At 57.6% G+C, this 26,007-nt stretch overlaps 1 protein-coding gene and 1 long non-coding RNA gene across 4 annotated transcripts in view, besides 4 other annotated features; one reads left to right on the forward strand and one right to left on the reverse strand.

The window, feature by feature from the left end:
* Positions 379-673: an enhancer, noted in NCBI's record as "tiled region #1162; HepG2 Activating DNase unmatched - State 10:DNaseD, and K562 Activating DNase unmatched - State 8:EnhW". NCBI's record gives its function as "activates a minimal TATA promoter and a strong SV40 promoter by Sharpr-MPRA in HepG2 and K562 cells {active_cell/tissue: HepG2 | K562}" and the evidence as "EXISTENCE:reporter gene assay evidence [ECO:0000049][PMID:27701403]".
* LINC00051 (long intergenic non-protein coding RNA 51) lies at positions 627-11,274 on the forward strand. Its single transcript, NR_024378.1, has 3 exons — positions 627-727; positions 8,956-9,146; positions 10,521-11,274. It is a non-coding gene; the product is annotated as a long intergenic non-protein coding RNA 51 (long non-coding RNA).
* Positions 4,072-4,792: an enhancer, noted in NCBI's record as "H3K4me1 hESC enhancer chr8:143283162-143283882 (GRCh37/hg19 assembly coordinates)". NCBI's record gives its function as "activates a minimal SCP1, AML or CMV promoter by ChIP-STARR-seq in primed H9 embryonic stem cells {active_cell/tissue: H9 hESC(primed)}" and the evidence as "EXISTENCE:reporter gene assay evidence [ECO:0000049][PMID:30033119]".
* Positions 5,513-6,232: an enhancer, noted in NCBI's record as "H3K4me1 hESC enhancer chr8:143284603-143285322 (GRCh37/hg19 assembly coordinates)". NCBI's record gives its function as "activates a minimal SCP1, AML or CMV promoter by ChIP-STARR-seq in primed H9 embryonic stem cells {active_cell/tissue: H9 hESC(primed)}" and the evidence as "EXISTENCE:reporter gene assay evidence [ECO:0000049][PMID:30033119]".
* A 3,076-nt stretch (positions 11,275-14,350) lies between the features above and the next one.
* Positions 14,351-26,007, reverse strand: part of TSNARE1 (t-SNARE domain containing 1) — a 194,950-nt gene continuing 183,293 nt past the window's right edge. For all 3 annotated transcript variants that reach the window (NM_001366901.1, NM_145003.5, NM_001363740.2), the window contains exon 14: positions 14,351-14,584. The gene's annotated coding sequence lies outside the window, so the exon portion shown is untranslated. The remainder of the gene's footprint in view (positions 14,585-26,007) is intronic.
* Positions 21,594-22,482: an enhancer, noted in NCBI's record as "H3K4me1 hESC enhancer chr8:143300684-143301572 (GRCh37/hg19 assembly coordinates)". NCBI's record gives its function as "activates a minimal SCP1, AML or CMV promoter by ChIP-STARR-seq in primed H9 embryonic stem cells {active_cell/tissue: H9 hESC(primed)}" and the evidence as "EXISTENCE:reporter gene assay evidence [ECO:0000049][PMID:30033119]".

A 26,007-nucleotide genomic window follows, 5' to 3' on the forward strand; every position in this document is an offset into this window, starting at 1 on the left:
GCATACAGAAGGAAAATTGAGTTTGCAAGGACATCTGCAGGACAGCAGGGGCTGGGGGAGAACGCTTAGGGTGACAGAGTGCGTGGCCCCGGGGGGGTAGAGCGCTCAGACTTTGAAGTCAGAGCTCATACCAGGCCTGGGTGCCAAGGTAAGGTCCTTGATCTCCAGGCTGGGGTCACTCAAGGGCTGCAGGATTCTCAGGGAGGACTGTAGGTCCCACAGGCACTGGGCTCGGGAAGGGGCAGTGTCCCCAACCCACAACAGAGCTGGTGTAGCCGGGAGCCTCGCCCCTTCCCAGTGCAGGGAGAAGGCAGCCCACAGCCTCCATCACCCAAAGGAGTCGACTTTCGCACGCGCAGGGCTGTCAGGCTGACTGTGCACCCAGAACAATGCAGCCTCATCGCTACCGGGTCCTGTTGACTGTCAGGCCCTGGGACTCAGCTGCTTCAGCTCCTAAACTGGGCACCTCTTTCTGACTCGCTTGTTGGGAGAAAGGCTCCGCCCCTCTCCAGACCCCGCCCCCAGGGAGGAGGGGCAAGACCTCTCATTGGAGGGCTCTGTGGGAAGGCGGGCTCTGAGCACCAGCTCTGCCCCTAGCAGCTGCTGGGCTGGGGCAGGAAGGGGGAGAGTCCCCATGGCCCCAGCAGCAAGCCCCTGCCTCTCTCCTGTCCGGCTGCTGCCCCACTCTGAGGCCCAGGTTCTCTTCTCCCAAGAGCGAGTGCGTTGGGTAAGTCAGCGCCAGGGACCAGCCCCCAGGTTCCCCAGCTCCCAGGTGAGTGCAGAGAGAGGGGCGGCAGCTACAGCCCACTTAGCTCAGGCCACCTGGTCCCAGCGCCACGAGGCCGGAAGCTGCCTTCTCCCGAGGGCCCTCAGACCCCTCCACCCCTGCCCAGCCCAGCCTCCAGCTGCCCACTGCCCTCAGCCCTCACGCCCTCACTCACTTCACAGGCAGCAGAAGTGGGCTGGAGTTCCAGCCGTGTGGCTGGGGTGAGCAGAGGGAGGGTTTTCGCTGAGACGTGGGTGAGGCTGCTCCCTCCATAGACTGTGAGAATCGGAGGGTGTCCCTCCCGTACACCTGGAAACTCCCAGACACCCCAGGACACTCCCTGAAGGGTCCTTGGAAAGGCCTGACAAGGAAGGGGGGGCACTCTGCCAGACACTCTGTCAGAGAACATTCTAGACTCACCTCCCACCTGCCCCCTCACTAACAGCCTGCCCTCTCGGCCCGTCCTGGACGCCTCCCTCACTAACAACAGCTAAGTGTAGCAGAGCCTGCGATTTTTTCCCCCAGTTTTGGAGGGCTTCTGGCTGTCTGGCTAAAGACTCTGTTTTCCAGCCACCCTTCAGCAGGGGTAGTCCTGGGACCAACATATGGCCAGTAGGATGGAGGGATGGGACGAGGGAAGCCTCTGGGCTAAGTTGCTAACAGGAAGGAGCCGGCCACCCTGGTCCATTCTCCCCTCCCTGCTGGCCAGAGGATAGATGTGATGGCCGGAGCAAGAGCAGCCACCTTGGCCACAGATGGAAGCTGTGTGTCGAGGACAGCAGAGAAACAGGAGGAAAGGAGCCTGGGCTTCACTGTGGTGCTGCCACAACCCCCCTGGGCTGCCTGACCCCCCTGGGTTGCCACAAACCCCCTGGGCTGCCCACACTTCCATGGGGTCACCTGCCCTCTGTCCACTGCTCTTATTTCTGGCAGTGGCCTGAGCCCACAGCCCAACTCACCCCCACAGCATTTCTCATCCTGCTGGGCCTGTGGCTCTGGGCAGGTCCCTGCCTGGGGATTCCTGGCATCTGCCCTCTCATGGGTCTTTCAGTCTAATTGGCAAAACATTTGAAGAGCTCCTGCACTCACAGAGTGAAACCCCAGGAAACGGAGCCCGCGAGGGATGCCAAGCTCTCCTAATAACAACACCTTTGTTTATTGTGGGATGTGGGCTGCTGTTGTGATGCAGGATCCAGACCTCGAGTAACCCTGTGCGATGGCAGGCCTTCACCCTGGGACTGGCCAAGGGCCCTAGCCCCTTCATCAGAGGTAAAAGGGTATCCCCATTCCCACCCGCCTCCCACAGGGCTCCAGCCTGACACCACTCGAAACATCTCATCAGGCCTATTCTCCCGACTCCAGGTCACCCATGACTCTCCCGCCCTCATCCGTTTCTGCACATTCCTCGCCATGCCCATCTCCCTCCTGCCCATCCCGGAGCCCACCGGACTGCACAGCCAGCATCAGCACAGCCTGTCCTGCTGAGTGGGGCTGCCTGCAGTCCATGGCACGAGATAGAGGCAGAACCTGGAGGCAGGCCGAGGTCGCCGCTACTCCTGGCCACTTCCAGACCACCCTGCCACCATCCTCCCTTCAGTCCACGGTCCAGACTTCCTGGAAGGCACCTTGCAGCCTTCGTTTGCCGAATTGTGAGATGCGTTTGCTCACCGGCCTCCTCCCGCTGAGCGTCCCTGGTGTCTGACCCACCTCTGTTTCCTTCTGTATGCACAGGTGTTTGTTGCATGACTGAACGACATTGAGGAGGGGACACGGCTCAGTAGAAACTTCCTTTAAGATGCATACAAGCTGCGGCAAAGCAAAGTGTGTTTACAAGGAGTTCCTGTGTGGGCTGGGCAGGGGCATCAGCTGCTCTTACTGGGGGAGGATGGTAGTGATGCAAACACAAGAGGTAGGGTTGGCAGCCGCACCCCTTGCAACTATCAGGGCAGCCTTGGGGCTTTCACAGGCGTGGTGAGGACCTGTCCTTGCGTGTTTCCCTCTTACCATGTTACCATGGAAACACACCATGCATGGACCTTACCCTGCGGATATGCCCCCTACGTGGCAAAAGGGATGTGCGGATGTGAAGGACCAGGAGATGTGTGACAATCCTGGGGGACCCAGGTGGGTCCTAAATGTCACTTCAAGGGTCCTTTTAAGAGGAAGGCAGGTGGCCAGGCTTATGCCTATAATCCCAGCACTTTGGGAGACCGAGGTGAGAGGGTCACTTGAGGCCAAGGCCAGCCTGGGCAAAATAGCAAGACCTCGTCTCTACAGAAAAAAATTAAAAATTAGCCGGGCATAGTGGCGTGCCCCTGTAGTCTCAGCTACCCGGGAGGCTGAAGCAGGAGGATCACCTGAGCCCAGGAGATGGGGGCTGCAGTGAAGCATGATGGCACCACTGCACTCCAGCCCTGCATTCAAGCGCGGGTGACAAAGCGAGACCCAATCTCAAAAAAGAAAAAGAGAGGGAGGCAGGAGACAGGTGTGAGGAGGGGAAGGGCTGCGAGACAGAGGCTTCGAGGAAAGCAGAAGGTCTCCAGAAGCCTGCAGAGGCCAGGAGGGAGCCTCCCATGGGGCCTCTGGGAGGAGCCTGCTCTGCCGACGCCTAGATGGAGCCCCTAACTCTCCTTCTGGATTTCTGACTCTGGAGCTGTGAGAAACGAACTTCTGTTGGTTGAAGTCACGGGTTGGTGGTTAGTTATTACAACAGAAACAGGAAACCGGTATGTCGGGTCGCTCCCAGCCTCAAGCCCCAGCTCTATTTTCCCATAAAAGCTAAGTTCTCACCATGAGGTGCTCTAGCTGCCAGGGTGGAGGAGGGGGTGTCACCCCACACTGATTTGTGGGCCCAGGGGTGAGGACACCTCACCTGCCACCCAGAACCGGGCCCACATCTCCCGGCGAGGCCTCCGTGGCTGCATTGCCGGCAATGACTAGGTGTTTTATGCTGAACGTTGAAGATATTTTCCACTGGAGATTTAACACGGAACATCAAGAACCATTGAAATCACTCATATCAATTGAAGATACAATAATTGAACCCCATAAAGATTACTGAGAAGCTGGTGGAGCTATAAGGAGAGGCATAAATAGAGATAAATTGGGCCCCCTCCACCCCCCCAGCCTCCCCCTGGAAGGAGCTCATTAGAGATGCTCACGGGGCCACTCAGTGACAGAGACCCACAGCAGGGAGAGGGGGGCCGGGGGGTTCCCACCACAGAGGGGCCTGAGCAGATCCAGAAGCTTCTGTGCATCCGTTAATGGTCTTGATCGGGTCCTTGGTGAAAGCGTGGAGCGAAGGGACCCAGGGGATGACAGCTCTGTTCTCCAGCGGCCTAGGCATCTCCTTTCCTCTAAGGGCCGCACCCCGAGCCCTGATCTGGGCCGCACACGGAGCCCCGATCATAGCCATACACTGAGTCCTAACCCAGGTCATAATCCAAGCCTCATCCTAGGCAAAGTCTAAGCCATGATTCTGGCCCCAAACTGAGCCCTGCTCTGGTCACAGTCTGAGCTCTGACCAAGGTCACATACTGAAGGCGGACTGTGACTGGAGGCTGAGTCCTGAGCCCTGGTGTCTCATCTCAGGCGGGTCCAAGCTCCAGGACTGTGGGTGCTCCCAGATGTCCACCACATCCGCTCACGCTGCCCTCTCTCTGAGCTTCTCACAGGCCGGGCCCTGGCTGGGCTCTGCATATGGAAAGAAAGGCCCCCTGTCCTCAGGGCATTTGACTCCCCGCAGGGAGGCAACACCTGAACAGTGATATCAGCCAAGTACTGTGGATGACGGGAGTCCCCAGCCCGGCTCTCCCTGCCCTCCCATGCCCAGGCCTCCAGCTCTGACCCTGAGAGCCCTCCAGCCGCCGTCTCCGCCCTCTGCCAGGCAGATCAGAGCACTGCTCCCACCTCTGAGCGGGGCCCCTGTCCTGGTCTGCTGTGTGTAGAGGCTGAGGTCGAACAGGCTGAGCACCGGGGGCCTGGGGTGCACTCCCTGAGTGGCAGGGCAGGGCCCCCTCCATGGGGCCTCACTCCTGCTTGTCATGGTTCAGAAGAGCTGAACGGGGAAGCAAAAGGCACAAAGTCAGCCTGTCTGGCTTTGCAATCTTGGCCTCCCCTCGGCTGCATGGCACAGAGAGGTTTCTTGCCATCTCAGAGCTTGGCCTGCCTAGCTGCAAGGGGATGATGACGGCATCTGACTCCTGGGCTGTGAGTGTCATCGGAGGGGACCCAGGCAATCACTGACAAGTTCCCGGGGCATGAAGCCCTCATGAAAGGGAACACAACCATGATCAGGTCCTAGGAGCGCCACACTGCCCTGGACTCCAGACCCGTGATCCTCCCATGCTGCCCCCAGGGTCTCTCAAGGGCCCACAGCCTCCCTGCCCTGCTCTGTGCCCCCTTCCTGGGCCCTCCCGCCTGTGGACCCTTCTCCGTGCTGTTCCCTCCTCCTCTCCCAGATCAACTCTCTATTTCCCGGCTCCCTGGGCACAGGTGTGAGGCTAGCAGCTGTGACTGTGCAGGGTGAACGGCTGATGCCCCAGCCACCCTCCCAGGCTCGTAAATCTGCCCTATTTCCCTCAAGCCGATACTCAGCCAGGCCGCCTGCACAATCCAATATATTTCAGTTACAAGCTGGTCTATTACCTGATTCATAACCGATCTGTCAACCTGAGAAATCAATGCATCCGTGGGATGCCACATACATAACACCTGGTGCATAATTGAATTCAGGCTCCCTGGCATCTCAGTGCATGGCAGGTGCTGCTGGGAACCTCAGCCCCCTCCCCTGGGACAGGGGTAGGGGCAGGGAGAACGTGCCTCCTGGCTGCGGCACCGGGGTGCAGCTCCGGAAGGACGTCTGCAGTTCTAGGCGTGGCTGGGTGATTCGGATCCTGGGCATCCTTGCCATTCTGTCTCAACTCTATTTGAAGAGACCTCAGAGCCTTTTCACCCAGCCTCCCACACCTGAGCAGTGGGCCCCCTCTCTGCCTGCACACTCACTGCCTCTGAGCGGCCCAGCCCCCACTCTCTGCCTGCACACTCACTGCCTCTGAGCGGCCCAGCCCCCACTCTCTGCCTGCACACTCACTGCCTCTGAGCGGCCCAGCCCATTGCAGACAGTACAGACCCACAGAGCCAAAAGTGCTGCATTTACCAGGCCCCTCCCTAAGATATCAAAATGCCAGCTACTCAGAACCTTCGGGGGAAGGTATTATTGGCTCATTGTATAAATGAGGAGTCTGAAGTCAAGGAAACGACCTTCCTAAGTTTGAACCACCAAGCTTGATTTGAAACCAGAGTCAGAACCCAGACCCACGACCTCTCGTGCATCTGAGATGAAGCCCAAGGGGCTGCTCCAGGGTGGTCAGCAGGGGCGGGGCCAGGGTGGTCAGCAGGGGCGGGGCCAGGGGCGGGGACTCCACAAACAGGAGCTTTCGGGGTCTACAGGGTCTGCATGTGCAGGGGGCGCTGTCTCCCTCTGGTTGGTGTATTTGTGGGGCAGAAACTCAAGTGATTGGGCAAGACCCTGCCCGTGTCCAGCTGCCACGTGGCCTTGGGAGGTCTCCTGTCCCCTCCAGTCCACAAGGTCATCTGAGCTCCTGGTTCCTGTGGCTGGACATCCTCGCTGACCTCACCTCTGGCGGATTCAGAGAGGCCAGGAGGTGCAGGCTGGGTGCCCTTGGCAGCCAAACCTTTCTGGAAGCCCAGGGCTGACTTCAGCTGGGTGCCCTTGGCACCTGGACCTTCTAGAAGCCTGGGGGCTGACTCCAGCTGGGTGCCCTCGGCACCTGGACCTTTCTGGAAGCCTGGGGGCTGACTCCGGCACCAGACACAGCTGGGGCTCCCCTCCCTCATCCCGCCTCGCACCCTGTCATTGATTCTCCTTTTCATGATCGTGGCACCCACGATGGAAATGGCATCTCAGCTCCTGCAAGGATCTATACCCCAAAATAGCAAAATAATTCCCATGGTGCGAGAATGCTTCAGACAGAGGCATGCGGGCTGGGGTTATTGGGGCCATGTTTCCACATGCACCTAATGTATGGACACATCTATTCCTGGGGCCGCCAAATCAATCCATGTGGAAGCCTGGGGAGCTGTGCGTCTCCCATGTGTCAGAGCGTGGAGGGAGCGCCGGGGGTGGGGGGCAGGGGCAGAGGCCCAGATGCTGGGTCCACCATGGAGGCTGCCAGGTGCTGAGGGGGGTCATTAAATACACCCCCCACACCCCTCACTTGTGTGAAGGTCAGAGGACAAAGGACGGACAAAGGCATCTGGTCACCTCTAAAGGGCCACACAGATGCCTCTCACCCTCACCCCACATCACAAATGAGAAACTGAGGCCCGGTCAGGAAGGCATCAGGTGGACAGGGGCCAGGACCCCATTGCTTCAGGCTCTGTGAGTGGCTCCCTCGTGCCAACACATGCACACATATGCACACACAGAGACACACATGGACACACACACGTGCACAGACATATGCACACACACACAAACACGCATATACACAGACATATGGAGACACATGGACACACACACGTGAACACACATGCACACACACAAACACGCATATACACAGACACACACGGAGACACATGGACACACACACAGGCACATATGTGCACAGAGACACACATGGACACACAGGTACACACAGACACCACAATGCAGATATATGCACATGCGCAAGGAACACGTGCATGCACACATACACATGCTCACACACATATGCACACACATGCACACACATGCTCACACATGCTCACATACATATGCACACACACATGCTCACATACATATACACACACACATGCTCACACCGAAGCAAGACACACACAAACACACACAGGCACTTACACACCGGGAAGCACTTCTCAGGGGGTTGTGGCATCTCTGCCTCTGGTGGCCTCTCCTGCAGGGGTCTCCACTTGGTGGTGTTGGGGGCCCCACCTGAGCCCTGGCGAGACCTCGCCTCCCCTCTCCCGGCTACAGGACATGCCAGGGCAGGGTGTGGCTTGTTCACCGAAGCAAGCCCCAGGGTGGATGCAGGGCTCAGGGAAGCCTCTCCCAAGGGAGCACAGGCAAGCGCCCTCAGTGGGGCACAGCTGGAGCAGCGCCTCCATGGCCACATGGCTCTGGGGTGAAGCCCGGCTCTTGGGCTGAAGGCCCCTGGTACCTGAGGGCCTCCCATATTCCCATCTGGAAAGTGGGGTTGGCAATGATGCCCATCTGCACAGCCAAGCCAGTCCAACACCTGGTGCCAAGCTGGCACCAGGCACACGGGCACACAGACCCCAGAGTGGACGGTGGGATGTGAGGGGAAGGGGGAAGGACAGGTGACAGCAGAGGCAGGCTCTGAGCCAGAGTCATGCAGGACGCACTGCCCAGCACTCCTTTCCCCGAGCCCTAAACAGACTCACAGAAGGTCTCAGCCAAAGGGGCTCTAGAGACCGGGGGGCCCATCTCACAGATGGGGAAACCAAGGCCCAGGGAGAAGAGGTTCATTCAGGAATACGCAGCAGATCACAGACCCTCAGAACTCGACGGGCCTCCAGGCTGCTCCCTGCCAGATGGGAACTCGCAGAGCAGCCACGAGACAGCGGAAGGGGCAGGGGCAGGGGCAGGGGCAGGGTCTGCCGTCTTCCTCTGGGACTCGCCCCATCTTGAGCCGAACAGATGAAACCGTTGACAGTGAAGCCTCGCCTGGGAGGACTTCAGCTCACAGCACGTGGGCCGGCCTGAAAGGGAGGACCCAGGGAAGGGGTGCTGGGAGGGCTGGGGACCCGGCAGCTCCTGGCCGGCATCCTCTATGAACTGCAGCAATTCATTATCCTTCCTCCAGCTGATGAGGATGATCAGGAGGACAATTAGTCTTGGAATTACCGCGGAGGAGACCGTTAAGAGAAAAATAAATTAAAAAGAAATCCATTCGAGGTGTAATTGTAATACAGTGTATCATAGTCAATTGAATCACAAATACAAGCTGGTCCCTTGTCGATTGATTTCAGCAAGTAAACAATTTGGGTATCTAAATTGGAAACTCGCCGGGAAAAGGAGCAATGATTTGGTTAAAGGGAGAACTGAAAACGTCAGGCCAAAAATTGGTTCTAGGTGTCTGGCTGCTACAGGACTGTGCAGGTGACCCTAGATGGGAGGGAGGTCACCAGCTCCTCCCTGCCTGCAGGTCAAGGTCACCCCATCTGGAAGCTACCTAGACCCCAGCAATGTTACCTGACCTGTGACACCTTTGTTCCTGTGTCCTCCTCTGTGCCGCCCATGGTGAATGTGGCTTCTCTGTCTACATGGATGCACTCCCACCACACTGGGAGCTTCTGGGGCACAGGAGTCCTGCTTTACTTCCTATGTTGAGCCCAGGTAGGTGGGGTGGGGGTGCTTAGAAGGCAGCTGTCCAGAGAGCAAATGAATGAATGGGTGGATATGTGGGGGACAGGTGGCGAAATGAATGAATGAATGCATAGATAGGGGATGGATGGATGGATGAGTGGGTTGGTGGATGGGTGGATAGATGGGTGGGTGGATGGATGGGAGCTGGATAGGGAATGGATGGGTGGATGGTAGATGAATGGGGGAATTGGATGAATAGATGGATGGGTGAATGGGGGAAAGATGGGCAAATGTCTGGGGAATGGATGGGTGAATGGATGGATGGGTGGGTAGGGGATGGATAGATGGATGCATAGATGGGGGATGGATGGGGATGGATGAGTGGATGGATAGATGGGGCTTGGAGAGATAGATGGACAGGTAGGTGGGTGGGTGAGTGGATGGATGGGGAATGGATGGATAAATGGGAGATGGAGGGATAGATGGATAAATGGCTAGATGGGGAGGAATGGATGGATACGTGGATGGATAGGCATTGGAGGGATAGATGGGTGGGTGGATGGGTGGGTGGGTGGGTGGATGGATGGGGAATGGGTGAATAGATAGGGGATGGAAGAATAGATGGCTGAATGGATGGATAGGTGGATGGATGGGGGTTAGAGGGATAGATGGGTGGGTGGGTGGATTGATGGGGAATGGATGAATGGATGGAAGGATAGATGGATAAATTGATGATGGGGAAGAATGGATGGACAGGTGGATGGATGGATGGATGGAGGTTAGAGGGATAGATGGGTGGGTGGATGGATGGGGGTATGGGTAGATGGATGGGTAGATGGATGGGGAATGGATGAATAGATGGGGGATGGAAGGATAGATGGATAAATGGATGGATGGGGAGGAATGGATAGATAGGTGGATGGATGGATGGGGGTTAGAGGGATAAATGGATGCATGGATGGATGGGGAATGGGAGGATGGATGGGGGATGGAGAGATGCTTAAACAGACTTAAAAGACTAAGGTATTGACAGCAGGTAGCCATTTCTCCCCCTCTGCAAGAACTTTGGACCTGAGATTCCAGAGCCCTTTTTAAATCTTCCAACAAGGAAACTATTTTGTAGCAAAAAAAAAAAAAAAAAAAAAGCAGAGTCACACCTGAGGCCTCCAGAATTCCCTGGCTTCCTCCATCACCCTGAAGCAGGTGGCCTCCTGTGCAATGAAGAGGGTGCCTGAAGACCCCAGTTAGAAACAATGCCCCATGCGGAGGGGGTGCTGTCCTACAGGATGGGGTGTGTGCTGAGAACGAGGGACTTATATCTGGAGCTCCTTCTCCCCCAGGCAGAACCTATGGGGTGGTGTCTCTCATGGTTACATTCTCCACCAGTTCACATTCCCCTTCTAGGGACTGCCCAAGATAATGCCCAGTGCAGGAATGTTTCCACCAGGGGTCACAGGAATGGCTCTGCTGCCCTGGGGGCTGAGTTGGCCACCTGTCTGGTGCCACCAAGTTAACAAGCAAAGCAGCATGAAGGCAGTGGCTGGGGAATCAACCCTGATTATCAAGGATAGGAGGCCTGAAGAACCACATGAAGAGAGTGCCCACAACCCAGAGGATCTCCTGGATACAGCTGTGTTACCATGATGTCCAGTGGAAGACACCACAACCCCATTCAGGAGGGACCTCCAAGCCTGAAAGCCTCAGAGTGATGGTTTGACTCACACCACCAGTAAAATAACTTCCAACAAGCTGAGCAAGAAGAAAAGGGGAATTGTGGCAAATTGCATTTTCCGAAAATGGTCACCTTACCACTATTCCATCAAGAGGTGGTGCTATGGTTTGAATGTGTCCCCCAAAGTTCATGCGCTGAAAACTTTACGTAAACACAAATGCAATAGTGTTGAATGGTGGGACCTTTCAACACTATCGCAAGGGTGATTAGGTGCTGATGGCTCTGCCCTCATGAATGGATTGTCATTGTTGAGGGAGTGGGTTCCTGATGAGAGAATGGGTACAGCCTTTCCCTCTTTCTCACATGTGCTCTTGTCCTTCTGCCATAAGATCATGGAGCAAGAAGGCTCTTGAAAGATGCCGGTCCCTGGACCTTGGACTTCCCAGCCTCCAGAACTGTAAGAAATAAATCTCTGTTCGATATGAAGTATTCAGTCTTGGGTATTTGGTTATAGTAGCACAAGCAGACTAAGACAAGCAGAGTCTCCTTCCCCTCCTCTGGAACCTAGGGAGCTTGTGACTGCTCCAACCAAGAGAATGTGATGGAGGTGATGCCATGTGACTTCTGAGGAGAAGTCATAAAAAGGATGCAGTTTCTGCCTGGCTCACTCTCTTGAAATGCTCCCCCAGGAGCCAGCTGCCATCTTGTAAGGAAGCCCAATCCACATGGAGAGGAAAAGTGTGGGTGTTGGATCCTCAGCCCCAGCTTAGGTCCCAGCAGACAGCCAGCATCAACCAGGAAGCATGTGACTGAGTGAGGCTTCAGGTGATTCCAGCCCCAAGCCTTTGAGCCAAACCTGGGGGGCAGGAGGCTGGCAGGGTGAGTAAGACTAGGGATATGTAGGGCCAAAGGGAAGAGAGGACCCATGTTCCTGCCCTGGTCCAGGCCCTGCATTTTCATTTTGCACTGGGACCCCCAAATCCTGTGGCTGCTGCTGAGCGGAAGGGACTTCTCCAGTGAGCTCCCTCGGCAGATCCATGGCTCAGAGCTCAAGGGGCCCAGCAGTGTCCTGGGGCCCTAAGGCCAGCAGCCGGGAAGTTCCTGGGCAGTGGGTTCCCCAAGGCACGGTCCCCACAGCTCCCACATGAGGAGGGTGCCAGGTCCAACCCTCCCACAGCAGCCTGAGCCTCCACGCCCTGCAAGCTTGTCCATGTCACCCTCCCGGGCAGGATTTGAGGCAGAGGTGTGTGATCCATGCTGTCTCCATCGTACCAGAGACAGCCAGCAAGGAGGGCAGGAGAGAGAGGGCCACAGACTCCTGAGCCCTGGCCTGGCACATGATACCCACTGGACAGACACCTCTGGTCCACTGACTATGCACCAACGTCATGTTCTTTCCATCACCTATCAGGGGAACTTTCCCCAGAAGTTCAACAATTCTGACCTTTGGGTTCCCATAAATTGTGTCCAGCCTGGGAACCAGAAGACCCATTTTCATTCGAGCTCTGCCATGGAGGTGCTGTACGACTTTGGGGAAGCCCAGTCTCTCTCTGGGCCTTGGCCTCTCAAGAAGGAGGGGGCTAGTGAAGGTGCACAGACGCCCTCCCTCAGTGGCCTGCTGCCTCCCGAGGTGCTACCGTGGCACTGCCCTCCCGTCCACCCCTTCTCCTATCCTGTCCTGTCCTGGCACCAGATGGACACCTGCCAGGTGGGCCTGTCTGGCTGCGGCTGCTTGGCTGGGACAGCGGGCAGGGCTCTCAGCCTCCTGCTGCTCCAGACAGGGGACCTGAAGGTGACTGTGACCCTTCAGTCCTGAGTGGGGAGGCCGCGTCTGGCCAGGTGGTAGCAGCTGCTGCCAAGGCAGCACTGTCCTGGCTTCCCCTCCTGCTGGCTCTCAGACTGAACTCCTCACCCCAGAACACCTGCTCCCACCCAGGGCCCACCCCGGGGAAGTGCTGACGGGGCAGGGGCTCAGGGCAGCCAGTCACAGGGCTGCATTCCACAGTGGGCTGACCTCCCACATAGCCTCCAAGGTCACGCAGCTCACAGAGAGCGAAGGCAGAGCCCCCAGCCTGGTCCTCCCTCCCTGGCAGCCTGGCTCAGGCATCTCCCTGCAGGCAAGCCCCTCCTCTCCCGGCTCCATTTCCTCATCTGTAAACTGTGCACGTGACCCCGGCCCACGGGCTGTCTCCCAGCTGCGTAGGAGACAATTGGGTGGTGAGCACCTGGCCCCTCCACCATCAATTCTCGGCCTGCCCTGCCCCCAGAGCCTCCTCCCTCAGCCTCATCATGAGCCTCCCAGCAAATGCGGCCTGCCTGGACTGAGTCTGGGCTCCTCAGCCTCTGGAGCCCTCACACCTGCAGCCAGGAGGTGCCAAATCCAATTTGCTCCCTGACACCTCCTCGGACATCCTGGGGCCCGCCTGCTGCAGCAGCAAATCTGAGAAGGTGGCAGCAGCTCGGGGGCGGACCGTCTGCCCAGCTCCCCTACCTATCACTGAGCCCAGCAGTGCTGCCTCAGTGGTGTGTTTCTCAGGCCCCTGGGAAGAAAATTGTTGAGAAATAGCTTCACAGAATCTCTAAAACCCTGAAGCACCATGTGTGGTGCTGGCTTTGTGGGGGTTTCAGGCCTTGGCGGAGGGCGTGGGGCAGGGAGAGGCTGGGGCCATCTCCTCCCTCTGCCTGAGCAGGAACCAGCATCTGCAGACCTAGCTGGATGCGCGTGGAAGGGGGCGCACTGTCTCCTGGGGGGGTCACAGACTCTGCCTGCCCTGCAGGGTCTGTTGTGGGCCCCCACCCTCAGTCCTTGGCTGAGGAGGGTGCTAGGGACGCCTCAGTGCTGGCCGCTGTGCTGACGCAGCCTGGGGCAGCTGGTGAGACGCTTTGCCCTCAGTGCACTGCCCACCTGGTGCCCTCTGTGCCACGGTGGGCGGAGCAGCCACTCTGCATGGACCCTCCTGTTCTTGGGGGTCCTACTCCCTACTCCTGGGGGAACAGGTGCAGAGAAGAGGAGCCTGGGATTGCCATAGAGCAGGCTGTACCCTGCCAGGGACCCCCTTCATGCCCCCAACGTGGAGCTGGGTGGCAAGCAGCAGAGAGGCCACAGCCTGGGAGCAGCCAGGGCCAAAGCCAGCCCTTTGCTTTCGGAGTGGGAAGCTGAGGTCTCAGGAGGGGCAAGGGCTTGTCCTAGGCCCTCAGGGAGGAAGACAAACGACCTCCGCCCATCAAGGGCTCAGTGTGGCATTCCAGGCCACTCAGGCAGCCTCCTCCTCGGGGAAGCCCCTCTTGGTGGGGGCTGGGACAGCCCCAGGCAAGGAGCAGTGCCCTGGCTCCACGCAGCACCAAGCCAGCTTCCCACCCCTCCACCACAGCAAAGCCCCCAGCATGCCCCTCCCCAGCTGTGAGCACAGGTTCATGTTCATACACAAGCTCACACACAGCCACACTCACTCCCCAGCAAGCCCCAGCCTGCCGCCTGCAGTCCTGTTGGCCTCCATTCCCATCCACATCCCACCCAGGCTTCATCTCAGGGGTCCCTGACAGGTGAAGACAGGCACGTGGCTGGATAAGCCACAGCGGTTTATTCGGGTGCTCAGCTGGGGCCGACACAGGGGCGAGTGGGGTCAGTGCAGGGGAGGACAGCAGGCAGCTGTGAAGCTCTCGGGTCCATTGCAGGCCAAGTGACGGCATCAGCTGACAACGCAGCGGACTCCATCAGCTCCCAGCTCCGGGCCAGGAGGGGTGCTCGGGGCTGGAGAGCCCACACCACAGCCAGCTGACGGTTCAGCGGCCGATGCTGCAGATGAGAAAGTGGAGGCTCAGTCAGGGCCCTGACCAGGTGACAGGGAGAGCTCAGAGTGCCAGAGGGTGGGGTGGGAAGCACCTGGGCCTGGTCTGGGGGCTGACAGTGTCCATGGAGGTAGGGCCCTGAGAGGGGAGTGGCCACCTGCAGCTGCAGGGGCCAGACCAGACTCTCCTGGCCCTGGTCAGGCTCCACGCAGGCCTCGGTCACCCATCCCCACGCTCAGCACCATCCCCTGCCCTGCACTCCATCCCTGCCCAGTCCATCCTTCCTGGCCGCATCCATGTGCCCAGGCTGCGGACTCCTGCAGCTAGAGCCTTCCCGAGTCCACCGGAGCTCCCCAGGCCCAGTACAGCAGGCCCTGCCTGGCGCACCCACCGGCCCTCCCTCTCCTGGGCACGCTTCCACCTGACTTCCAAGCCCACGAGACGACCCTACCTCTTCCCTGGCCCCTCCCTCTCCCCTCCTCCTCCTTCTCTCCAATCCTTCCCCCCCCTGTCCCTCCCTCTCCTGTCCCCTCTCCTTCTCTTCCCTCCCTCCCCGCCTTTCTCCAATCCTTCCTCCCCTTCCCTCTCTCCTGCCCGGTCCCTCTCTTCCCTCCCTCCCCCTCCCTCTCTCCCATCCTTTCTCCTCCCTCTCTCCTCTCCCTCCCCCTCTGCTCCTTCTCTCCAATCCTTCCTCCTCCCCCTCCCTCCTCCTCCCTCTCTCTAATCCTTCCTCCTCCCCCTCCCTTCCCCCTCCACCTTCCTGTCTCCCCTCCCTCACTCTCCCTCTCTTTTCCCTCCCTCCCCCTCCCCACCTTCTCTCCAATCCTTCCTTTTCCCCCTCCCTTCCTCTCCCCTCCCTCTCTCCCCTCCCTCCCCTCTTCCTCTCCCCCTTCCCTACCCCCTCCGCCTCCCTCTCTCCCCTCCGACTCTGCCCTCCCTCCCCTCCTCTCTAATCCTTCCCTGCCAGGGAAATCCTGTGCGGACTCCGGGGCTGGGGAGAATGCCCCTCCTCCAGCCCCTCTCCTGGGGAGCAGGCCACTTGCTCCTGAGGCCCCATCACGTGCCCCTCTAGCCTTGGGCAGATGGCAAGGGGGCAGTTGCTGCTTCTCTGTACTTTTCCATGATGACTTTTTTGCAGCAAGCATGTATCATTTTTGCACAACCAATAAATCTACTTTCAAAACAAAAAACTGAAAACCCCTATAAAAGTCCAATAAGGACAAACGCCAGTTGCCTGGCCGTGGGCAGAGGCAGCTGGAGACAGGGCTGTGGGCGGCAAACTCCCTGCGGCCAGGAGCAAAAGGCCAGGGCCTTCTGGAGGAGCAGAGGAAGGAGGCAGCTGGGGAGGGGGCCCCTCAGGACTTGGTGGCACACTCACTGCTGGCTCCCCGAAATCCAATTACCACAGGAAGCAGGGAGGCGAGGGGAGGGTGAGGCTGTGGGCCTGGGCCAGTGAGGGGCCTCTTGGGTGCTGAGCCAGGTGCCCAGCAGGTGGCCCACGTGATGTGCAGGCGGCTCCTGCAGGGCGGAGCTGAGCCAAGGCACCTGGTGCTGTGGGGCTCCCCATCAGAGCCCAGCCCCCCAGGAAGCCCTGGCCTTTCCAGGATTCTCCCCAAAAGGCACCCGGTGCTGTGGGGCTCCCCATCAGAGCCAGCCCCCCCGGGAAGCCCTGGCCTTTCCAGGATTGTCCCCAAAATGCCAGTCCCTGGAGACACCTGTCCTGCCCCCAAGGCTTTCCATAGCTGGTATGAGGGGGTCCTCAGGGCTGGCAAGAGGCATGGCCAGGGTCTGAGGGCCTCAGGGCTCAGGGACTGGCCGACTCTGACATAGCCAAGGTCCAGGGAGCAGGCGATGACGCTGGGTGCGGCCCGCCTGGCCCTGGGAACCCAGAAAGGAGGATGGGCGGCCACTGCAGGGCTGCAGCTGGAGTCAGGGCAGACCCCGCTCCCCACCCACAGCTCCAGCCTGGCCCCATCCACACCACAGGGCCTCCCTGGACCCTTCATTCCGCCATGGGGCTCGGCCTTGGCACATCCAGAATCCCCTTGGGGCTGCCCCACCCCTGCCACCTCCTCTCCCCGCCACCCCGGATTTGGGATGGTGCCCGTCTGTGCCCCACTGCACCCAGTCCCTGGATCCCTCGGGATAGTTCTCCAGTCATCCCCAAAACTTGGCCCCTCACTTCCTGCCCAGAACTCTGGGCTCTGCCAGGCCCAAGGTCTACCTTGCGCTGGGCCTGGGCTGTTCCCTCTGCTGGAATGATTTTCCCTGCACCCCACTCTCGGTGAGGCCTGTTTAAAATCACAACCAGCCTCATTCCAGCCCCTGCTACGGTCTGAGTGCTTGTGTTCCTCCAAAACTCAAAGGCGAAAATAACCCCCAGGGTGATGCTGTGAAGGGTGGGGCCTCTGGGAAGTGCCGTGGTCCTGAGGGTGCAGCCTCCTGGTGGGATCCAGGCCCCAAGAGCTCCCGCCCTCCCTCCGCCACGTGAGGATGTAGGAGAGGTCACCCTCAGCAGCCCAGAAGGGCCCTATCAGAACCCAGCCCTGGCGGCACCCTGATCTGGGACTTCCAGCCTCCAGGGCAAAGAGCAGTTTCTTCTGTGGTAGAAGCCGCCTGTGGTGCTTGGTTACAGCAGCTGAGCTGATAAGGACCCCTCACCGACAAGGGCTCCCTCCCCCAGCGCTTCCCACCTCAGGGGCTTCACCTCTGGCCTCATCACACTCTGTCCATGCTCCTAGCCAGACAGTTGCACCTGCAGGCAGAGACCTGTCCTGTCCATGGAGGTGTCCACAGAGGTGTCCCCGGGCCCAGGCCAGGGCCCGCACGGACACCATGAATGCGTATTGATCGAGTGAACAAATCTGTGATGTGCACGGCTGTTTCCAACTCCCAGGCACTGCACTGCTCTGGCAGAGTGACTGCCAGACCAGGATCCAGCTGTGTTCGGAGGCACCCCCCACTTCCTAGCTGCCTGGGGATGAGGGTGGGGGCGCCCCAAGGATGGTGGTGCTCAGCGTGCCCCTCAACACAACGCAGTGTCCTGGTGTCAGTGGACAGGGTCTAATGCGAGGTGGCAGCAATGGTGGTCAGGGAGCAGCCTTGCAGTGCCTGATGCCCCCATCTTCTGGCCAGAACTGCCCCTCCCATCCCCACATGTGTCCCCCAAGATTGGGAACTGGGTCTCATCCATTGCCCTTGTCCACCACCACCCCTCAGCCTCCCCACACACACTCTGTCCAAGCCAGGGCAGCAGGGCCCAGCCTCGAACCTGAGAACCCCCAGGAGAGCTGTCCCCCGTGACCTACCAGGGAGTCCTCCCTGCCCTCACACCTGGAGGGCAGACTGAGCCGAGAGAGGGGAAGGGCAGGCCAAGGGGGCAGCAGCCTGGGAGGGAAGTCCCTGCCCCACCCAGTACACACCTGTGAGAGGCCAGCTGGCAGTGGCAGCCCCATGTGGGCACCTTTGCTGAGGCTGCCAGCTCAGCCCCACCCAGCTGGGCCTGGACACGCCCTTCAGCATCTAGTGCAGGCCACATTCCCCTGAGCTCTGGAGGCTTGAAGGTCAATGGGCCAACCCTCCGCCTGCACCCCAGGCTGGCTTTGTGGTGCCATGGAATTCGGGGTGAGGCCTGGCTGGGGATACAGGGATGGATGGCCCTCGGGCCCTGTGCAAATTCAGCCCAGCCTCTGCCTGCCTCAGCAGATGGCATGTGGCATCTGCCGGCTGAGTGGCCCTGTGATGGGGCAGATCTGAGGGGGAAAGGTTCCCATGGCATCCTCTAGGCCCAAGCCATGAGCCTTCCCCACTCCCTGCCGCCCCTCAGCCCCAGCTCCTCCAGACCCCTAGCTGGGTCTCTTCACCCCCAGGGCCCGGTGTAGAAGAAGCTCCCACCTCTGCCATGGTGCCCCCGCCCCTCCTCTGAGGGCTGAGCCTCAGCCATATGGCACTGAAATGAATGCTGCTGGGGAGATCTTTGGATTGGAACAGATGGGCGGACGCTGGTGCAGTGCAGAGAGGCAGGGGCTGGGGGTGTGGGGCTGGGAAGGATGAGGCCTGGGCTCTCCCTGATCAGCTGAGTAGCACAGGTATAATCACTGGGACTTGAGGAGCTGCCTGGGCTCTGGCGTCCTCTGGCCACACGCTCGGGGGCCCAAGAGGGGTCTCCAGGAAGATGCTACTGCAGGGTTATGGAAATTGGCTCTCAGGGAGATGAGGCTGGAGGGTGTCGGCCTCCCGGCCTGGCACAGCAGCATAGCACCCCCTGTCCCACCCCACCCCTCCCCGCACTGGTCAGCAGCCTGGGCACGGGGCACAGGGCTCTGCCTCACTCCATCCTCTCCCTCCTGCCTGAGAGGAGCAAAGCCTGGGGTGGGGGACGAGCAGAGGCACAGACTCAGGCCGGCCCAAAGTCCTTGGCAAGGATCAACCCCTCTGAGCTGTCCTCATATCTGTAAAATGGGCAGATACTTGGCACCGACCCTGCCTGGTTGTTTATCCTCCTCTCAGTCGACAAATCTGCCTCGGACATCCCTGGGCCCCACACTGGGCTGGACACCAGACAGCAGGGGAACCGGGGTTTCAGCCCCCATCAGAGGGGAGATGAAACAGGGAGAGGAGACGGTAGGTGAACAGTCGTGGAGAAACTGCCTAAGGACCGGGCGCGGTGGCTCACACCTGTAATCCCAGCACTTTGGGAGGCCGAGGCAGGCAGATCACGAGGTCAGGAGATCAAGACTATCCTGGCTAACACAGTGAAACCTTGACTCTACTAAAAATACAAAAAATTAGCAAGGCATGGTGGCACATGCCTGTAATCCCAGCTACTCAGGAGGCTGAGGCAAGAGAATCACTTGAACCCTGGGAGGTGGAGGTTGCAGTGAGCCGAGATAGGGCCACTGCACTCCAACCTGGGCAACAGAGCAAGACTCTGTCTCAAAAATAAAATAATAAAATAAAATAAAATAATAAAATAAAAAGAAGAAAGAAAGAAAGAAAAAGAAAGAAAGAAAGAAAGAAAGAAAGAAAGAAAGAAAGAAAGAAAGAAAGAAAGAAAGAAAGAAAGAAAAAAGGGAAAGAAAGAAAAAGCAAGCAAGCAACGGCGTAAGGAATGGCTGACCCCACAAGAGGCTTGGGCCCCTCTGCTGCTGTCCATGGTGCTGAGATCTTGAATGCTGGCCAGAGGCGAGAGCCAGCAGGCAGGCAGGGGCAGGTGGTCATGGGCAGGGGTGAGCCCTTGAACTGGGTTTATCACCTAAAAGGTGACTCTGACCTACTCACTTCAGCTACGTCAGCATCAACTTTTTGCTCCAGGGAAACAGTGTGCATGCACCATGCTTTCTGGCCTCATCAATGAAGGGTCAGGGCTAGTCCATAGCCAGGTTTAGGTTCAGCCTGTGACCAAGGTCAGGGCTCAAAATGTAACTAGAATTAGGGTCAGTGTGTGACCAGGATCAGAGCTTAGTTTGTGACCAGGATCAGCGTTCAGGGTGTGGCCAGGATCAGCGTTCAGGGTGTGAGCAGGATCAGGGCTCAGTGTGTGAGCAGGATCAGGGCTCAGTGTGTGGCCAGGATCAGGGCTCAGTGTGTGACCAGGATCAGGGCTCAGAGTGTGAACAGGATCAGGGCTCAGAGTATGAGCAGGATCAGGGCTCAGTGTGTGACCAGGATCAGGGCTCAGAGTATGAGCAGGATCAGGGCTCAGTGTGTGGCCAGGATCAGGGCCCAGTATGTGACCAGGATCAGGGCTCAGAGTGTGAGCAGGATCAGGGTTCAGAGAGTGGCCAGGTCAGGGCTCAGTGTGTGACCAGGATCAGGGCTCCGTGTGACCAGGATCAGGCTCAGTGTGTGGCCAGGGTCAGGCCTCAGTGTGACCAGGATCAGGACTCAGAGTGTGACCAGAGTCAGGGCTTAACGTGTGACCAAGATCTGGGTTCAGTGTGACCGGGATCAGGCTCAGGGTGTGGCCAGGGTCAGGGCTCAGGGTGTGGCCAGGGTCAGGGCTCAGCGTGTGACCAGGTCATATCCAGTGTCCACCCTGGAGAGCTGCCTGTTGAGGCACCACGAGGGCCAGACCACTTTGTGGGCTCCCTGGAGCTTCACTGTGTGGGTTTCTAGGCCTTCTTGGAGCACAGACCACTCAGAGCCTGGTCTGGTTGGGAACAGTGCCCATCCCTCAGCTCACTGCCAATGTCCCTCAGACATGTCCCCCTCTCATCCCACTCACCACTCTGCCAAATAGCATGGGCCACCCCTCGATGAAGAGCCTCAGCTGCCAGGGAGCTGTGAGCCCAGCCCAAGCAGGCATCTGCCCCTGTTGACTGCCTGAGGCCAGACCCACAGGCCGACACCCGACACACTCAGGGTCCAAATGCCTGGCTGCCAGCCCCCTGTGAGAAGCTGGGCATGTGTGGCCCTGAGCCCTCCCCGCCCCACCCTGGGTGGCCCTGGAGCCTTGAGGCCCTTCTCTGCTTGGGCAACTGGAGCACCCAGCACATTCACATTCCACTGCTGACACTTTCCAAATAGCTTATTAGAAATTAATATTTAACTCTCTTCTGTGGATTTAACTTAATTATTCAATTTATTATTGCAATTACTGAAAAGCACCCGGAAGCAAAATTGCTTGCTTTGAGCAGAGGAGACAGTCAAGGAGGCAGGAGTCTTGCCAAGCCCATCTCAATTTCAGAACGAGCTTTGCAGCCTTCACCCCTGGGGATTCCTCCTTGTGTCCCACTGAAGTCTCTCTTGCTGCGGTTAGAAAACAAAACTTCTTTTCCCTGTCAGGGCTGGCTGAAGATGCTTTCTGTTCCCTGAGTGTCACCTCCTGGGTGGTGCTTCCCTGGGGTGGGGCCAGAATCCCTGTTTCTGCTAAGAGGGGAACCCTGAAGGCAGCACCCCCATTTCTTCCTTCCATATCATGCTGGGGTCCACTGCCCAGACAGGCAGGAGGAAGGAGGGAGAGACGAGGAAGGAGAAGGAAAGCTTAGGGAGAGAAGGATGGCAGGAGATGACGAGGAGGGAGGGGAGGAGGAAGGGAGAGGAGTGGGGGCCTTGTTTTCACTACCACCCCCAGGCACAGCTTCTAATCCGGCCCTGCAGGTCGGGTCCCGGTATCTGCAGCCTTGCCCTCAGGGAGAGGCTGTCGCCCTTTACAGATTCTGGTACCAAAGCTCCAGGAAATGTGGTGATCTGTCCCTGGGCACCCAGGTGGACCCGGCCAGGTGGGGACTCAAACCCAGGGCCATGGGCCACAGGGATGAGGTCTCCTGACCGACACGTGGCCCTGCTACTGGAAAGGTCGCAGCTGCCCACAGTTAAGCCCCAGGGCCCCCTCCCCTCACCTGCCTTCCTGCCTGTCCATTTCCTGGGGGAAGAGCAGAGGTCCTGGGGGAATGGGGAGGCAGGACTGGATGCCCGGGATGACCCTGAGCCCTGCCTATGAGGATGGCTCTGCCCTTCCCCCCTGCCCCTCCAGGCCTCAGCCGTCCTTCTGGCTCCCGGCCTCCCAGCCTCCTTCACCCCGAAGGCCCGCTGCCCAGGACAACCCATGGGCTGCTGTGTGTTTGCTCCAGCCCACTGTGGATGGGTGCCAGCCCAGAGCTGAGAGTCACATGCCAGCTGGGAACAGCAGGAGGTGAGGAAGAGACGGAGGGGAAAGGTGGGGTCAGGGGTCCACTGGGGCCAGCCACTCTGCCCCAGTGTCCTGCTGGCCCGAGGGCCATGTGGGAGCCCCAGAAAGAAACCGCCGCTGTGTCCCGCCTTGGGTCTCAGGTCCGCAAAGCAGAGTGCCTGCAGGGTAACAGTAACGCAGCCCGCAAGAGTAGTAGAGACGGGCAGTGAGCTCCACGGCCATGACTGAGTGAGGCTAGACACCGGGTGGGCTGCAGGCCTTCATCCCTAATGCTCAGTGGCCCTGCAAGGTAGCACGCATGTCCCATTTCACAGATGAGGAAACTGAGGCTCAGAGAGGGGAAGCCCCATGCAGAGGCCCCACGGTGAGGAGGCCTCTGCTGCACAGCACCCTCTGCTGCCCAGCTCTGCCTCCAGCCCACTTGCCAGATTCTGCCCTCAGCGGTGGTCCTCAGGGCAAACTCCATCTGCCTGGAGCTCAGGGAGGCTGGGTCTGGGTCCCAGGGGAGAGATCTTGATGGAGAAGCCTCTAGAGAGCCACAGGAGACCTCGGGGAGCCTCTCACACCCTGAGGGCAGGGTCAGGCCCGGGTGGCCTCCAGGTTAGGCCAGGGAGGGAGGGCCTCCAGATTCCGACCTGGAACCAGGGAACCAGGCCCTCTCGGGCTTCTGATCCGCTCAGCACAGAGGGGCATCTACGTTATCTCTCAGGCTTCTGAGTGAAAGGCGCCACTATGGTCACGCCCCAAAGGCAGCAGGCACTGAACTGTCCTGGGCCACCAAAAGGCAAACAGACCCTCGCACAGCGCCCCAGCCGGCAGGCAGTGCAGCCCACCAGGTCTCAGGGTCACCAGACCCAAGCTAAAAACCTGGCCTGGCACCCGCTAGCTGTGCAACCTCGGGCTGAATACTGTACCTCCTGGCCAGCAGTTTCCCTGGCAGTACCACAGAAGATTCTGTGAAATGAAGGACTGAGGACAGAATCCGTGTAAAGTACTCACTCCCTGCTGGCATACAGCAAGCACTCAATAAATGGCAGCTATGAATGTGGTGCATTGTCACGTCCCGTAAATGCCTGGTGTGTGAACGCTGCACTCCTGTGCCTCAGCCCCAGATGGAGTGGTCAGTGAGAGAGAGATCCTGCCTCACTCCACCGTGCCTGGCTTCTGAGCAAATCCTCTCATCTCTGCACCTCGGTTTTCTCATCTGAGAAATGGGGACCTCACAGCACCTTCTTTGTGGCGCTGTGGCGAGGAGTCAGTGAGAGAATGCCCATTAAAGCACCTACTAAGTGCTTGGCAGACAGAAGATAACATGGAGGAACCACAGTTGTCCCCACCCTTCTGGGATAGCCAGCGCAAGTCTGCCACATGCAAGTATGTGCACACACACGCAGGCACATAACACAAAGGCCATGCCAGGAAGCACGCAAAGGTCCCGCCACACACTTCCCAAATGGAAATCAATGGCTTTGAGGCTGATATCTCACAGCTTTCAGAAAACATTAAAACCCTGACCTGCTATGCTCCTCCACTTAGCCCCTTAAATGTTTTGTGCTTATGAAAAATACTTGATTGATCGTTGCCTGGATACTGTAATTTTCTATTTACTGAGGCCCAGCCTTGTGGCTCCAGGAGCCAGGAGCCCTCAGACAGGGATTTGCTCCCTGGGGCCCTCACTCACTCATTCACAAACTCATTGACTCGTTCATTCATCCACTCACTCACTCACTCATCCACTCATCCACTCACTCACTCATCCACTCACTCATCCACTCACTCACTCATTCACTCACTCATTCACTCACTCACTCACTCATTCACTCACTCACTCACTCATTCACTCACTCATCCACTCATTCACTCACTCATCCACTCACTCATTCACTCACTCACTCATCCACTCATTCACTCACTCATCCACTCACTCATTCACTCACTCACTCATCCACTCATTCACTCACTCATCCACTCACTCATTCACTCACTCATCCACTCATTCACTCACTCACTCATCCACTCACTCATCCACTCATCCACTCACTCACTCATTCACTCACTCACTGATTCACTCACTCACTCACTCATCCACTCACTCATCCACTCATCCACTCACTCACTCACTGATTCACTCACTCACTCACTCCTTCACTCACTCATCCACTCCACTCACTCATCCACTCATTCACTCACTCATCCACTCATTCACTCACTCACTCATCCACTCATCCACTCACTCACTCATCCACTCACTCATTCACTCACTCACTCATCCGCTCATTCACTCACTCATCCACTCATTCACTCACTCACTCATCCACTCATCCACTCACTCACTCATCCACTCATTCACTCTCACTCATTCACTCACTCACTCATCCACTAATTCACTCACTCGCTCACTCATCCACTCACTCACTCACTCATCCACTAATTCACTCACTCACTCAGTCATCCACTCACTCATTCACTCACTCACTCATTCACTCACTCACTCATCCACTAATTCACTCACTCACTCACTCATCCACTCATCCACTCACTCACTCACTCATCCACTCACTCATCCACTCACTCACTCACTCATCCACTCACTCACTCACTCATTCACTCACTCACTCACTCATTCACTCACTCAGCCACTCATTCACTCACTCATTCATCCACTCACTCATTCATCCACTCACTCATCCACTCACTCATTCACTTACTCATCCACTCATTCACTCACTCACTCATCCACTCATCCACTCACTCACTCATCCACTCACTCACTCATCCACTCACTCACTCATCCACTCACTCACTCACTCATCCACTCACTCACTCATTCACTCATCCACTCACTCACTCACTCATCCACTCACTCACTCATTCACTCACTCACTCACTCATTCACTCACTCATTCATCCACTCACTCATCCACTCACTCATTCACTTACTCATCCACTCACTCATTCACTTACTCATCCACTCATTCACTCATTCACTCATCCACTCATTCACTCACTCATCCACTCACTCACTCATTCACTCACTCACTCATTCACTCACTCTCTCATTCACTCATTTACTCACTCACTCAGCCACTCACTCATTCACTCACTCACTCATTCACTCATTCACTTACTCGCTCATACTCATTCACTCATTCATCCACTCATTCACTCACTCGTTCACTCATTCACTCATTCACTCATTCACTCATCCACTCACTCATTCACTCACTCACTCAAGTATTCACTCATTCACTCGTTCACTCACTCATACTCATTCACTCATTCATCCACTCACTCATTCATCCACTCACTCACTCATTCACTCACTCACTCATTCAGTCACTCACTCATACTCACTCAACCACTCACTCATTCACTCACTCATTCACTCACTCGTTCACTCATTCACTCATTCACTCACTCACTCATCCACTCATTCACTCACTCAAGTATTCACTCATTCACTCGTTCACTCACTCACTCATACTCATTCACTCACTCACTAATTCACTCATTCGCTCATTCACTCATTCACTAACTCATCCACTCACTCATTCACTCACTCACTCATTTATCCACTCACTCACTCACTCATTCACTCATTCACTCACTCATTCACTCACTCACTCATTCACTAACTCATCCACTCACTCATTCACTCACTCACTCATTTATCCACTCACTCACTCACTCATTCACTCATTCTCTCACTCATTCACTCTCACTCACTCATTCACTCACTCATTCCATCCTTTCCTGCAGAGAGATCACATCCCCAGGAGTTCACAGACAAGTCAACA

This window comes from Homo sapiens, chromosome 8 (genome assembly GCF_000001405.40).
Source record: "Homo sapiens chromosome 8, GRCh38.p14 Primary Assembly".
In the NCBI taxonomy this organism is placed as follows: domain Eukaryota; kingdom Metazoa; phylum Chordata; class Mammalia; order Primates; family Hominidae; genus Homo; species Homo sapiens.